This window comes from Homo sapiens, chromosome 4 (assembly GCF_000001405.40).
Source record: "Homo sapiens chromosome 4, GRCh38.p14 Primary Assembly".
Taxonomy (NCBI): Eukaryota; Metazoa; Chordata; class Mammalia; order Primates; family Hominidae; genus Homo; species Homo sapiens.
The window spans coordinates 95330028-95343833 of NC_000004.12; the positions used below are offsets into that span (position 1 = coordinate 95330028).

The following is a 13806-nucleotide window of genomic DNA, read 5'->3' on the forward strand; positions in this document are numbered from 1 at the left end:
TCTTGTTATATCAATTCATGTATTGAATAAACTATTTTCCTCACTGGTTGAAAAACTGATCTTTATTACATTCTAGGTAATGTAATAGGTACAAATGCCTTAGGTCTTTTAGTGTTTCTTGATCTCTATTTTAATCTATTAATCTGTACGTTTTGTCCTCTGCTAAGATCAAACTCTTTTAACTTCTTTAGCATTATATTTATAATGAGTTGGGTTTTCCTCATTACTCTACTATTTAAGAATTATCTCAGCTATTTTCCCAAATTATTTTTAATAAAATGATGGTGACATTACAGATTCATTTATAAGCATTAGACATTTAAACATATTCGACCTTTCCATTCAAGAATATGTCTTTCCTTAATGTAAGTCATGATATCTTTTTTGCCTCTAAGTAGGATTTTTAAATTTCCTTTATAAAATTCTGCAAAATTTTTGATAAGTATATACCTACATGTTTTCTTTTACATAGCTATTCTAAATGACATCTTTTACTGCATTTTAATTTGAATTGGCTGTCTGTACATAGGAAAGTTGGTTGGTGATACAAATTTTTTATCACCTATTTTCTCTATTCTCTTCATTTAAAGATTTTTTTTCTTTTAAAATGCATACATTTTCCAGGAGTAAAAAATCACATAATTTGTCATAAATGATAATTTTCTACTTTCTTCACTATTTTTGTACCTCTTCATTACTTGTGTTGTCTAATGGCACTGGCTAGTAGATTAGAATAATACCAATTAATAATGGTATCTGTGGGCATCTTTGCCTTTTTCCTAACTTCATTCTTTTTATTTGTAGTAATTTATGGGATATAAGTATAATTTGTTGCATGAATAGATTGTATAGTGGTAAAGTCAGGGCTTTTGGGGTATCCATCACCTGAATAACATACACTGTACCTATTAAGTAATTTCTCATTACCAACCCCCCTCACCCACCTGCATCCTTCTGAGTCTCTGTTGTCTATCATTTCACACTCAACATCCACATGTACACATTATTTAGCTCTCACAAGTGAGAATATGTGGCATTTATTAATATATTTCTGGGTCTGAGTTACTTCACTTAAGATAATGGCTTCCAGTTCCATCCATGTTGCTGCAAAAGACATGGTTTCAGTCTTTTTTATGGATGAATAGTATTCTATTGTTTGTATATATCACATTTTCCTTATCTGATTATCCACTGATGGGTACTTGGGTTGATTCCCTATCTTTGCTATTGTGAATAGAGCTATGAAAAACATATGAGTGCAGGTATCTTTTTGATGTAATGATTTCTTTTCCTTTGGGTAGATGCCAAGTAGTGGTATTGCTGGATTAAATGGTGTTCTATTTTTAGTTCTCTGAGAAATCTCCATACTGTTTTCTATAGAGGTTGTACTAATGTACATTCCCACCAAGTTTTTCAAAACTTTAAAGGTAATACCTACATGAGTCTAGTATGTCAGCCTTTGGCTGGATGCTGGCCTTTTCTGTAAAGTTCTGGATGAAAATGAAAGCTCCTAATAAAGCTATGTTGTATATTACTCCATTCCTGAATCTCAGGAGAACTGAGAAAGTACTGAATTTCCTAAATCTTCTCTTAGTTCTCATCTATCTCTCCTGAATTTAAATGAAAACATGCAAACTATTTTAGTTTACAGTTAATTTATAAGGTAGTCTTATTCATTGATGTATGTAATATTAATTAATTTTTATGTACAATTATAAAAAATAAAGATTTCACAGAGAAGAAATCTCTCTCAATATATGTGTATATGTGTGTGTGGGTGTGTTACCAACATAGCATGAAATTGTTATAAGCGTTCGATATTAGAATAGTTTCATTTCTCAAAGTCTCAGGATACAAAATCAATGTACAAAAATCACAGGCATTCTTATACACCAACAACAGACAAACAGAGAGCCAAATCATGAGTGAACTCCCATTCACAATTGCTTCAAAGAGAATAAAATACCTAGGAATCCAACTTACAAGGGACGTGAAGGACCTCTTCAAGGAGAACTACAAACCACTGCTCAATGAAATAAAAGAGGATACAAACAAAGGGAACAACATTCCATGCTCATGGGTAGGAAGAATCAATATCATGAAAATGGCCATACTGCCCAAGGTAATTTATAGATTCAGTGCCATCCCCATCAAGCTACCAATGACTTTCTTCACAGAATTGGAAAAAACTACTTTAAAGTTCATATTGAACCAAAAAAGAGCCCGCATCGCCAAGTCAATCCTAAGCCAAAAGAACAAAGCTGGAGGCATCACACTACCTGACTTCAAACTATACTGCAAGGCTACAGTAACCAAAACAGCATGGTACTGGTACCAAAACAGAGATATAGATCAATGGAACAGAACAGAGCCCTCAGAAATAATGCCACATATCTACAACTATCTGATCTTTGACAAACCTGAGAAAAACAAGCAATGGGGAAAGGATTCCCTATTTAATACGTGGTGCTGGGAGAACTGGCTAGCCATATGTAGAAAGCTGAAACTGGATCCCTTCCTTACACCTTATACAAAAATTCATTCAAGATGGATTAAAGACTTAAACGTTAGACCTAAAAGCATAAAAACCCTAGAAGAAAACCTAGGCATTACCATTCAGGACATAGGCATGGGCAAGGACTTCATGTCTAAAACACCAAAAGCAATGGCAACAAAAGCCAAAATTGACAAATGGGATCTAATTAAACTAAAGAGCTTCTGCACAGCAAAAGAAACTACCATCAGAGTGAACAGGCAACCTACAAAATGGGAGAAAATTTTCACAACCTACTCATCTGACAAAGGGCTAATATCCAGAATCTCAATGAACTCAAACAAATTTACAAGAAAAAAACAAACAACCCCATCAAAAAGTGGGCAAAGGACATGAACAGACACCTCTCAAAAGAAGACATTTATGTAGCCAAAAAACACACGAAAAAAGGCTCACCATCACTGGCCATCAGAGAAATGCAAATCAAAACCACAATGAGATACCATCCCACACCAGTTAGAATGGCAATCATTAAAAAGTCAGGAAGCAGTAGGTGCTAGAGAGGGTGTGGAGAAATAGGAACACTTTTACACTGTTTGTGGGACTGTAAACTAGTTCAACCATTGCGGAAGTCAGTGTGGCGATTCCTCAGGGATCTAGAACTGGAAATACCATTTGACCCAGCCATCCCATTACTGGGTATATACCCAAAGGACTATAAATCATGCTGCTATAAAGACACATGCACACGTATGTTTATTGAGGCATTATTCACAATAGCAAAGACTTGGAACCAACCCAAATGTCCAACAACGATAGATTGGATTAAGAAAATGTGGCATATATACACCATGGAATACTATGCAGTCATAAAAAATGATGAGTTCATGTCATTTGTAGGGACATGGATGAAATTGGAAATCATCATTCTCAGTAAACTATCACAAGGACAAAAAACCAAACACCACATGTTCTCACTCATAGGTGGGAATTGAACAATGAGAACACATGGACACAGGAAGGGGAACATCACACTCTGCGGACTATTGTGGGGTGGGGGGAGGGGCGAGGGATAGCATTAGGAGATATACCTAATTCTAAATGACCAGTTAATGGGTGCAGCACACCAACATGGCACATGTATACATATGTAACTAACCTGCACATTGTGCACATGTACCCTAAAACTTAAAGTATAATAATAAAAAAAGAATAGTTTTGTTTCTATTTATAATCTTCCTATATAGGCATGTCATTATTTTAGTAAAGATAAGCCTGAATATGTTGTAACGTATTTGAGTTTTTGTTATTTCTCTTTCCTTTTATCATTAAAGCTTATTTGTTTGAAATCTATACAAATACATGAGCTGAAACAAATAAAACTCAATCCACTTGAGATTTTGAAGACATCTGGTGGAGTTATTTTCTGAGTAATTAGACCAAGAGGTGGGACAATTCCCTGAAGTAAGCTACCCTATAATTGGATACCCAGTTATATCTGCAGTCATCAGCTTGCATTCAGTGAGCATATTGATTCACAAATTGACAAGCAATTATGTAGAGTTGCCACCTGATTTTCCAAAGACCATTTATGTTATAAAGAATATGTCCTACATGCTTTTTAAAAAGTTGCCTCTTCTCAGTCCTCTCATAGTCTGTTCTATTTCTTTATGTTCTGTCACATCAATATGCTATTTATCTTGTCGGAGATCTTGAAAGTAGAAAGTAGAGCCCTCAAGTGCTGGTCTCTACTTGTCTCTGGTTAATCCAACATTTGGGAACAAATATGAATTATTTACAATTTGGATTTTGAACATGTGTATCCATTTTGGTTCAGAGAGATATCTAGTAAGGGTAAAAAAGATATTTAAATGCTTCAATTTTTGTCATGCTTGATATTCTTTGGCTTGAAAATGTTGAATAATAAAGTATTAATACTTAAATATATGTCAACATTACAAAATCATAAGTCTGGAAGAGATCTGAAAGTTCAAAGAGTTATTCTGTCTGCTGGAGAGCAAAAACACGTATGCTACCATGGAAAGATATATATGTTTCCAATTTAAAAGAACTCCAGGAGATTCCACAACTACCCTAATTTATCCATTGTGTAGCAGAAAATTGCTATCCTTTATATCTAATTGAAATCCCACAGGTTATTAGAATCTACTCCATCCTTTCTTTGCCTTTAGTATTTTATCTTTAAGGATGGTATTTACAGAGCAGCAAAGTCAGGAGTTTTAACCAAGCCAGGGGCAAAGATAATCAGATCAAGACCCTCTGAGAAAGGGCTACAATTACCATTTCTTCTGTTCATGAATCCTACACTATCACTGTTCTGAATCACCCTCAATTTAATTTTAGATAAGAGTTAGGAAGTTAGGATTCACTTTGGATGTAAGTTATGAGTATAAGATACTTTGAATCTATGACATTTACAAATCCTTAACAAATATAAGGGCAAACTATGCACATGGATTAACATTAGACATTAATGTAAACACGTTCAATTTATCCAAGTTAAAAATGCTCCCCAGATCTCGGGATATTTAGATCTGACTACCACGCAGGTGCAATTCAAGAATATTATTATTTGCTTGGGCATTTAACATTGTCAGTCTATTCATTCGCATTATTTATCTTCTTAAGTATGAACCATGTTTTAATTTCATGTAGTCCAACAGGAAGCAAGTCAAGATTTATTCACACCATTTTACTTTTCAACACATGAAACAAGATCACCAAACCTTAACCAAACCAATTCAAAACTTTTTGTCAGAGAATAACTCCATTTTCCATTCCACTAATTGAAATAACAGTATGTCCACATGCTAGAGTAGTGAGTAAGTGAATCTTGAAGTGCAATGCAAATGCAATGGAAAACTCACCGGAAGTTTCATCTACTCTTTCATCTACTATGTGGTCCTTCTGATGAACCCATTCACTATTACACTTGAAATAGATCTGGGTGGCAGGGCTTGCTTTACAGTACAGGTTCACGGGCTTATTCTTCACAATATAAGCTTCTTCAGGCTCAATAAGGAAATGTGGCAGAGGCTCAGGTGGATCAGAAGGAAAAGTTTCTGGGAGTTCATGAAAAAAGTCATCATCTGAGAAAGAAGAAGAAAGTGGAAGATGGTTAACACATTGTAACAACTTGCCTTCTACTTGCTAGTCATGTAAAAATAGTGACTTATAAATGCAGTAATTAAGTGATTTGAATGCCTGCTGTGTGCCAGGCTGTATGTTAGATCTATTGACTGGTCATTTAAGGATATGGATTATTATTCCCATTTCTATACACAGCAAAACTCAACATCAGGGAGGATAAGTAAGTTGCCCTGAGCACATAGGTAGTAAATAGCAGAGCTGAAACTGGAATTCATGTGTATCTCAATTAAAAACCATGATCTTCCCAATGTATCACTACATTTCCCATTATAGAGTGTCACCCTTGAGAGCAGACAAAAGCAAGAGCAACTTCATTAGAAACATGTATTTGAAAATCATAAGGCTCATAGATAAAGCTTACACACTTTGCAAGGAGCCGAGCAGAAATATTAGAAACTTTAATTAAGGATATTTACGTTCCAATTCAAATCTGTTGTTATTTTCAAAAGATGTCATTGTGTGAAATATTCATTCAACCCAAAATTTAAAAACCACTTTAGATAATTTGCACACTTTGAGATACATTTTAAACCTGGATTCTGCATGATTCAAAATAAAAAATTAATAATAAATGTGCTTTTTATAATAAAACCTATTATTGTGTTTTACAAAAGTCAAGGTAAAAACAGTCTTTCCAACACACCATAAATAAGTTCAGCCTAATAATAATCTTCCAATTGGGACAGAGGAGAACAGAGCTATTACTAATTCCCCAAACTGGTTACAAATACGTAATTGAAAACTCTGATGTCAAAATTAAAATTTTTTTACAAGTTCTTTAAATGTACGTATATTCAGTAGTAAATATAGAGCATGGTATTGGTACTTAAAGGCTGGTTGCTCACATATTGTCTTGAAAGTCATTTTATTTCTCCTTCAGTTGTTGCCCTGTGTTGGAAGATAGCCATTGGTATAGTGGACATCTGTCCACTAAGAAAACTGGCTTGGAACTTTTTTCATTCAAGTCATAAGATAGCTGTCAAATAGTAATGATGTCCGGTCTCTGCTACTCTGTTTTGCAGTAAAAATTGACTTCACTTGCATCACTGACAAAACTAGCATTCCAAGCTGCCCACAGTAGTAAATTTTTGACACTGAAATGTAAATGTTGTTTCCTATACCTAGATATTTCTTCTCACTTTACCTCCTTAATTTGCTTTCTTTTGGCAGGGCATCATTTCTAGTTTTTCCATTGTTGAACATCAAGGACCAAAATTGTCAGCTTACTAAAGAATAACCTTGTTTCCATCAATTGCAGCTCCTTTAGTCAATATGCAAGAACATTCAAGACTGCTTAAATAAACATAGCTCAGAAAGGCAAAGGGATGAGGAACTGAACTATTGACAAATCCATCAGCATGAAACTGATGTCTTGAAGGTCTTAACCAATTTTTTTTCTTCTAAAGCACTTACTGTTATATGTGATGATGGACAGTGCTGATAATCAATAAAGCTCCGCAAAACATGACTCAAATTCTATAGAAGTTAGCTGTTGGTTTTAATTATTACTATTTATGAAGGTGGAAGGTCAACTAGACTTTATTTTTTAACTATGTTTGTACACATAAAACATGTGACTGTATTTAATAACTATTTATTTAAGCATGCAAAGTATAATAAATCTTTCAGCCATTGTTTCAGAAGGTAAAACTTGAAAAGGAATGATTGCAAGATACAGATGATTGTATACTACCTTACCTTATTCAATAATATAGCAAAAGTATTTAAATGTTCACATGCTATAGAAAAACTTCATAGGCACTAAAAATTGATTACTCTGCCTTGCCAAAGCATGTATCTCTTTCTTCTGATTATTTTATTGTAAACTACTGAAAAGACAAATGGAAGCAAAAAAGTCACACATTTTCAAGTCAAAAGCAGCTCTGTTAAATGCTGGGAAAAAAGTGATAATTTAACAATATATTTAGAAAATGTATGGGCAAACTAACTTTGTATTTCCTTAATTTTGACTTTTAAGACAACATGATCACCACAAGTAAAGAGAGATGAACCTATATCTTGGTTTGAGGTTTCACACAGTTATTGATTTTTCAAGATGTTTGTTAACACTTGAAAATGCAACTTATTAAGGAAGATTTCTATCATTAGAAATGTTTTAATTTAATAAATCCAGTTTTTCTTTGCATATCATTATAGTTTCTGCAGAATCAATCGTTAAAAGTTTATCTAGAGAGATGCCTTAGCCAACCACAGCATAGTAGTTTATTAAGATTTCCTATAATATTCACAAAGTAAAGTCAAGCCTATGCCCTGGATGAATTCCTGTTATAGGCAATATGGCATATCACTTCTATTACTCAACTCAGTTGTTGAGAATGATATTAATATAGAAAATTCAAGAACTTGATTTAGTAGATATGTACAGTGGGACAGATATGATAAAATGCAAATAAGCTGATTATCAGTGGGCTCACCCCTGTTGTGAAATCCTTGCCTTCTCCACATACAAAAATGAGCTGGGTACCTTACTCAACCATCGAAGTTGGTCCCACCATCAAGTTAACATACTAAAAGAACACTTTCTGATTCTTGCTCCATAGAAAACTGTCAAGTTTCAGCATTAATTCTCAGATACAGTGTTATTTTAGAAATCATCTTTTTACGAAACTGTATCCTAACTTTTTTCTATTCTAGAGAAAGTTTTGAAAATGAAACAAGCAAGCCAATTCTCTTCAACTGAAATAATAGATGAAAACTTTAATTTAAACATCCAGCATGACTATAGCTACATGTATTTAAAGATAAAGTGATCAGCTACAAATACTATTTATCCTACATGAATATTTAGCTCCTCTGTGTAATGCATTTGCCAGTCATACAAGTGGAGGAATCTACTTTTCAGTTTTGCAATTGGTTTTATAAGACTATTACCAATTTTCAAAAAACTTGAAATATACAATAAATGCTTAACACTAGAGATGAAACTCTTTGAAAGCAGGGACTATATTGATTTCATTTTCATTTTCCCTAAGTCTAGCACATTATATGGGGTCAATAAAAATCTTACAAATGCATGAATATTATACTAATGGCAACTTTGATCATTCCTAAGAGATTCACAAGGAATTTTAGAGTTTATAGTGCCTCAGATTCATTTACAATTATAAGATGTTTTAACAATAGAAATATCTACAAACAGGACTGGCTACAAAATTTGTGTGGCCCGGTGTAGAATGAAAGTTCAAGATCCCTGATTAAAAATTTATTAAGAATTCTGAGATTGTGACAGCAGAACATTAAACCAAACACTGGTCCTGTGTGACAGCAGAGGTCACATACCCGTGAAACCAGCCCTGTCTACAAATGTCAGGTAAATGAGCATCTCACTTCATGGAAAGTCTGAAAAATGAAATTGCATCTTTATTACTGGATATTCATTTTGGAACTTAGTTTGTTTTCCAGCTTCTTGTGGTAATTAGCTATTTTCTAAAGGAAAACACAATTGTTCAGACTGAGAAACTCAGGCTCATATCAATTCTCTAAGCAAGCGTATTTGCAATGGTGTGCAAGGGAAGGTGTGTGACTTTATGTGTCTGTGGCCTTCCTTTGGATGTTCCCTAGTGCCCATCAAAGGTCCTCTGTTCCAAAATAAGTAAAATCCCTGCCATGCTAAAATTTTTACTTTTTCAGGGCATTAAAGGACTGCTGAACCCATGGGGATAAGAAAATCTGTGATTCCACCCTGAAGTGGTAGACTGTTTACTGAGATCAGTACCTTCAATTCAATTAATATTACCATACTACAAAAAAACCCCACAAAACAAAATGAAAAAAACAGCTTAAGGTCATGCTGCAAAACTTGGAGCTATAAAAAAATTGATTTTTTTTTCTTCAAGGACATCAGTGAGTACATCCTCTTACCACTTTATTTTTTAATATAAATATCTGAAGGAGTGACATTAGGGTGATAATAAGAATTCAGTTTGTGAACAGCAACTTCAGACTGTGAACTTATTTCTGGCAACATGCCACAGGTATCCCAAATTATTACCTTTTCTATAAATGCACACCCCAGCTGCTGGTATTGACTGCATTGTGCTATCTGGGCAAAATGACTTGATTAATTAAATTGTGAAACACGTTTTGTACATGTAGTTCATTCAAATTAACAAGGTAAAATTTCCAGAGTTGCTTTTGTTCTGTACATTGAATTCAGTATTAACTTAACGCATTTTTGATTTAGATGTAACGCTATTATTCATTTTACCCTCCTCTGATATTTGACTTAATTTTCCACTTTCTACTATTACTCAATACTGACATTCCAACAGTAGTACCATTTTTATCTTGATATCAATAAATCTCAGTATTTCCTTTTTTCTGTTATCTCACATAGGCTTTTGCTGTTTCATTTATACCCAAGAAGAGAAAGCTTTTCACCATGTATTATTTTTATAGACTTTCATTCCACCTAATTCTTCACAGGAATATATTATGCTATGAACATCAATCTAGGGAGCTTTAGGTTGCTGATTTTATTGCTAAATATCAAGCCTTAATTTTCATCAACTTAATACATAAGTTTCTATATTTCTGAATCATAAGACTTAAACTATTATTGCTTATATCATAAAATATAGGACCATTATCTCTTTGTCTGAGACTTGAAGCATACTCCTCTGAAATGGAATTTACTTCCAAGTGATTCAAGAGCAATTTAAAATGAATGACTGCAAAGCTAATGTTATCTGCATTTGGCTACCCATCCATCAGAGAGATAATTCATGATATATTACAACAAAAGGCAGCTGGAATTAACTAGTTGAATGAGACTCCAGCTTATTTTTAATATTTTGATTAAAATATCCTCAGGAAGACAAAGACTATGGTCTATATTTCAAGCAATATATTAATGGATTCATCATTTAAATTCAAGTCGTTGACTACATAATGCCTTAAATGTATTGCACAACTTGGAAGTACTGAATGATTTCTAACTTCAAAACAAACTTTTTTTTGCTTTTAAAGAAATACTTGCCAAATCATGCCCATACATTATTAATAATATACAGCTAATATGCTAGTTGATATCCACTTAACTCTGAAAAGGGGGCACCATTTTCTGCCCGCTTAAGCCTTCATGAACTCTGACTTTTATTAATTAATCTATCCTCCTAAGTGTTTTCCAGCCTATCATCTCTACCTCTGCCATGTAGTCTACAGTGTATTCTTAGAAGACATTTTCACACAAACACATTTACCCCCTTTTGCAAATAATTTAATAAATGCAATGTGATGTTTTTTGCAAAAGAAAATTTTTGCTTACCAAATTAGCTAAAAAATACTCAATGACTGATGAGGAGGTGAAGAAATGTGCAATTGCATATATGGCTGGAGTGTAAATGGGTATCACAGAAGATAGAATTTGACAATATAAGTAAAAATTACATCTCTGCATATCTCCAAATAAGCTATCCCACTTGTTGGAATCCATATTACAGACAGAATGACATGAAAGTGTAAATACATATGTACGAAGATGTCCACTGCAGCATTATTTGTCTAAAGAATACATGATATATTACAACAAAAGGCAGCTGGAATTACTTATTTGAATAAGACTGAGAACAACTGACCACCAACTGAGGAATGGTTAAATAATTTCTGAAACATCCAAGCAAAAGTACACTGGCTGGCCAATAGAAATAAGAAAGTGGATTTGTACGTATTGACCTAGAAGGGCAAGCAAATAAAACAAGTTTTTGGCCAGTTTGTGTAGAATTATACCATTTTTTTTATAAGAAAGAGAGAAAGAAAGAAGAAAGAGAGAGAAAGAAAGAAAGAAGAAAGAGAGAGAAAGAAAGAAAGAAAGAAAAAAAGAAAAGAAAAAAGAAAAAGAAAGAAAGGAGGGAGGGAGAGAGGGAGGAAGGGAGGGGAGGAAGCAGAGCAAGATAGCCAAATGGAAGCCTTCACTGATTGTCCTCCCTGCAGGAACATCAAATTGACTATATACACCATAAAGCACCTTCATGAGAACCAAAACTCAGGTGAGTGATCACAGTACCTGGTTTTAACTTCATATCACTGAAAAATGCACTGAAGAATGTAGGAAAGACAGTCTTGAATTGTTAATGTCACCACTCTCCCAACTCCCAGCAGTAGCTGTGAGGTGTGGAGAGAGAATCTGTGTCCTTGGGGGAGGAAGAGGGCAGTGATTGTGCGACTTTGCATTGGAACAGAGTGCTACCCTGTCACAGCAGAAACCAAAATGGGGCAGAATTCAGCTGGGGCCCACAGAGGGAGCATTTATACTGCCCTAGCCAGAGGGGACTCACCCATCCTTACCGTCAGAACCTGCGTTCTATTAAGCCTTGCCACCATGGGCTAAGGGCTGTAAGGTCCTAAATAAACTTGAAAGGCAGTCTAGGCCACAAAGACTACAATTCTTGGGCAAATAATGGTTCTATGCCAGGCTCGGAACCACTGGACTTGGGGAACATGCTACCTAGTGAGATACCAGCCAGGCTGGCTAAGGGAGTGCTTGTGCCACCCCTCCCCTAACCATGGGCAGCATGGCTGACAGCTTATAGGAGACATTCCTTCCCTCTGCTTGAGGAGAGGAGAGGGAAGAGTAAAGAAGACTTTCTTTTGCCACTTAGCTACCAGCTCAGCCACGGTAGGATAGGGTACTGGGCAGTCCTGAGGCCCATATTCTAGGCCATAGTTCCCAGGCTACATTTCTAGAGCCGCTTTGGGCCAGAAGCAAAACTACTACCTTGAAGGGAAGGACCAAGTCCTGGCAGAATTAATCACCTGCTGAGTAAAGAGAACTTAGGCCCTGAATAATCAGCAGCAATATCCAGGCGGTACATGCTGTGGTTCTGGGGTGAGACTCAGAGACGTGCTGGCTTCATATGGCTTCAGACTGAGCACATTCCCAGCTGTAGTGAGAATGGACTGGGATGAGGCTCCTTCTGCTTGAGAAAAAGGGAGGGAAGAGTAAAAGGGAGTTTGTCTTGCACCTTAAGTACCAACTCAGCCACAGTGGGACAGAGCACCACATGAATCCCTTGAGGTTCCCAATTCCAGGCCTTGGCTCTTGGATGGCATTTCTGAAACTGCCCTGGGCCAAAGGGGGGCCCACTGCCCTGAAGGAAGAGTCACCACAAGCTGACTGAAGAGCCCTTGGGCCTTAAGTGAACATTGGTGGTAGTCAAGCAGTACTTGCTGTGGGCCTGGGGTGGCAGTGGCAGTGGCCATGGAAAAAGACTCCTCTGATGGTGGAAAGGAGAGGGAAGAGCGGGAGAAACTTTGTCTTGTGGCATGGGTGCCAGTTTAGCCACAGTAGAATAGAGTTCCAGGTAGATTCTTAAGGTTTCTGACTCCAGGCCTTGGCTCCTAGATGTTACCTCTGGATCCGCACAGGGCTGGGGGCAACTTGCTTCTCTGGAGGGAAGAACAAAGGCCTGGCTAGTTTTGCTGCCAGAGCCCTAGGGCCTTGAGAGAACATAGATGATAGCCAGGCAGTGGCTACCATGGGCCTTGGGTGAGACTCAGTACTGTGCTGGATTCAGGTCTGACCCAGCATTGTCCCAGTGTTGGGTAGAGACAGGGATGCTTATGTCACCCCTCTTCAAGCTCTAGGCAGCTCAGTAGACAGAGAAGGAGACTCTGCTTGTTTGTTTGGGAGAAAGTAAGGGAAGAGACCAAAATTCTCTGCCTAGTAATCCAGAGAAGTCTTCCAGATCTTATCCAAGACCACAAGACCTCTATGAGTCTGCAAAAGTCATAGTGTTACTGGGCTTGGGATGCCACCTAATGCACACATAGCTGGAGTGACCAAAAACTTAGATTACAACTCTTCAATGCACAGACACCAATAAACATCCACAAGTATCAAGGCCATCCAAGAAAACATGACCATGCCGAGAAAATTAAATAAGACACCACTGGCCAATGCTGGAGAGAGAGAGATATATGACCTTTCAGAGAATTCAAAATAACTGCTTTGAGGAAGTTCAATGAAATCTAAGATAACATAGAGAAGGAATTCAGAATTATATCAGATACATTTAGCAGAGAAATGGAAATAATTAAAAGCAAGCAGAAATTCTGGAGCTGAAAGATGCAACAGACATACTGAAGAGTACATCAAGAGTCTCTTAAAAGCAGAATTAATG

The 13806-nt window shown here is 36.1% G+C and overlaps 1 protein-coding gene across 4 annotated transcripts in view; it reads right to left on the minus strand.

The window, feature by feature from the left end:
• UNC5C (unc-5 netrin receptor C) overlaps positions 1-13806 on the minus strand; it is a 386470-nt gene that overhangs the window by 167524 nt on the left and 205140 nt on the right. For all 4 annotated transcript variants that reach the window (NM_003728.4, XM_005263321.4, XM_047416346.1 and 1 more), the window contains one exon: positions 5383-5604. In NM_003728.4, the coding sequence (NP_003719.3) occupies positions 5383-5604 (222 nt within the window). The remainder of the gene's footprint in view (positions 1-5382; positions 5605-13806) is intronic.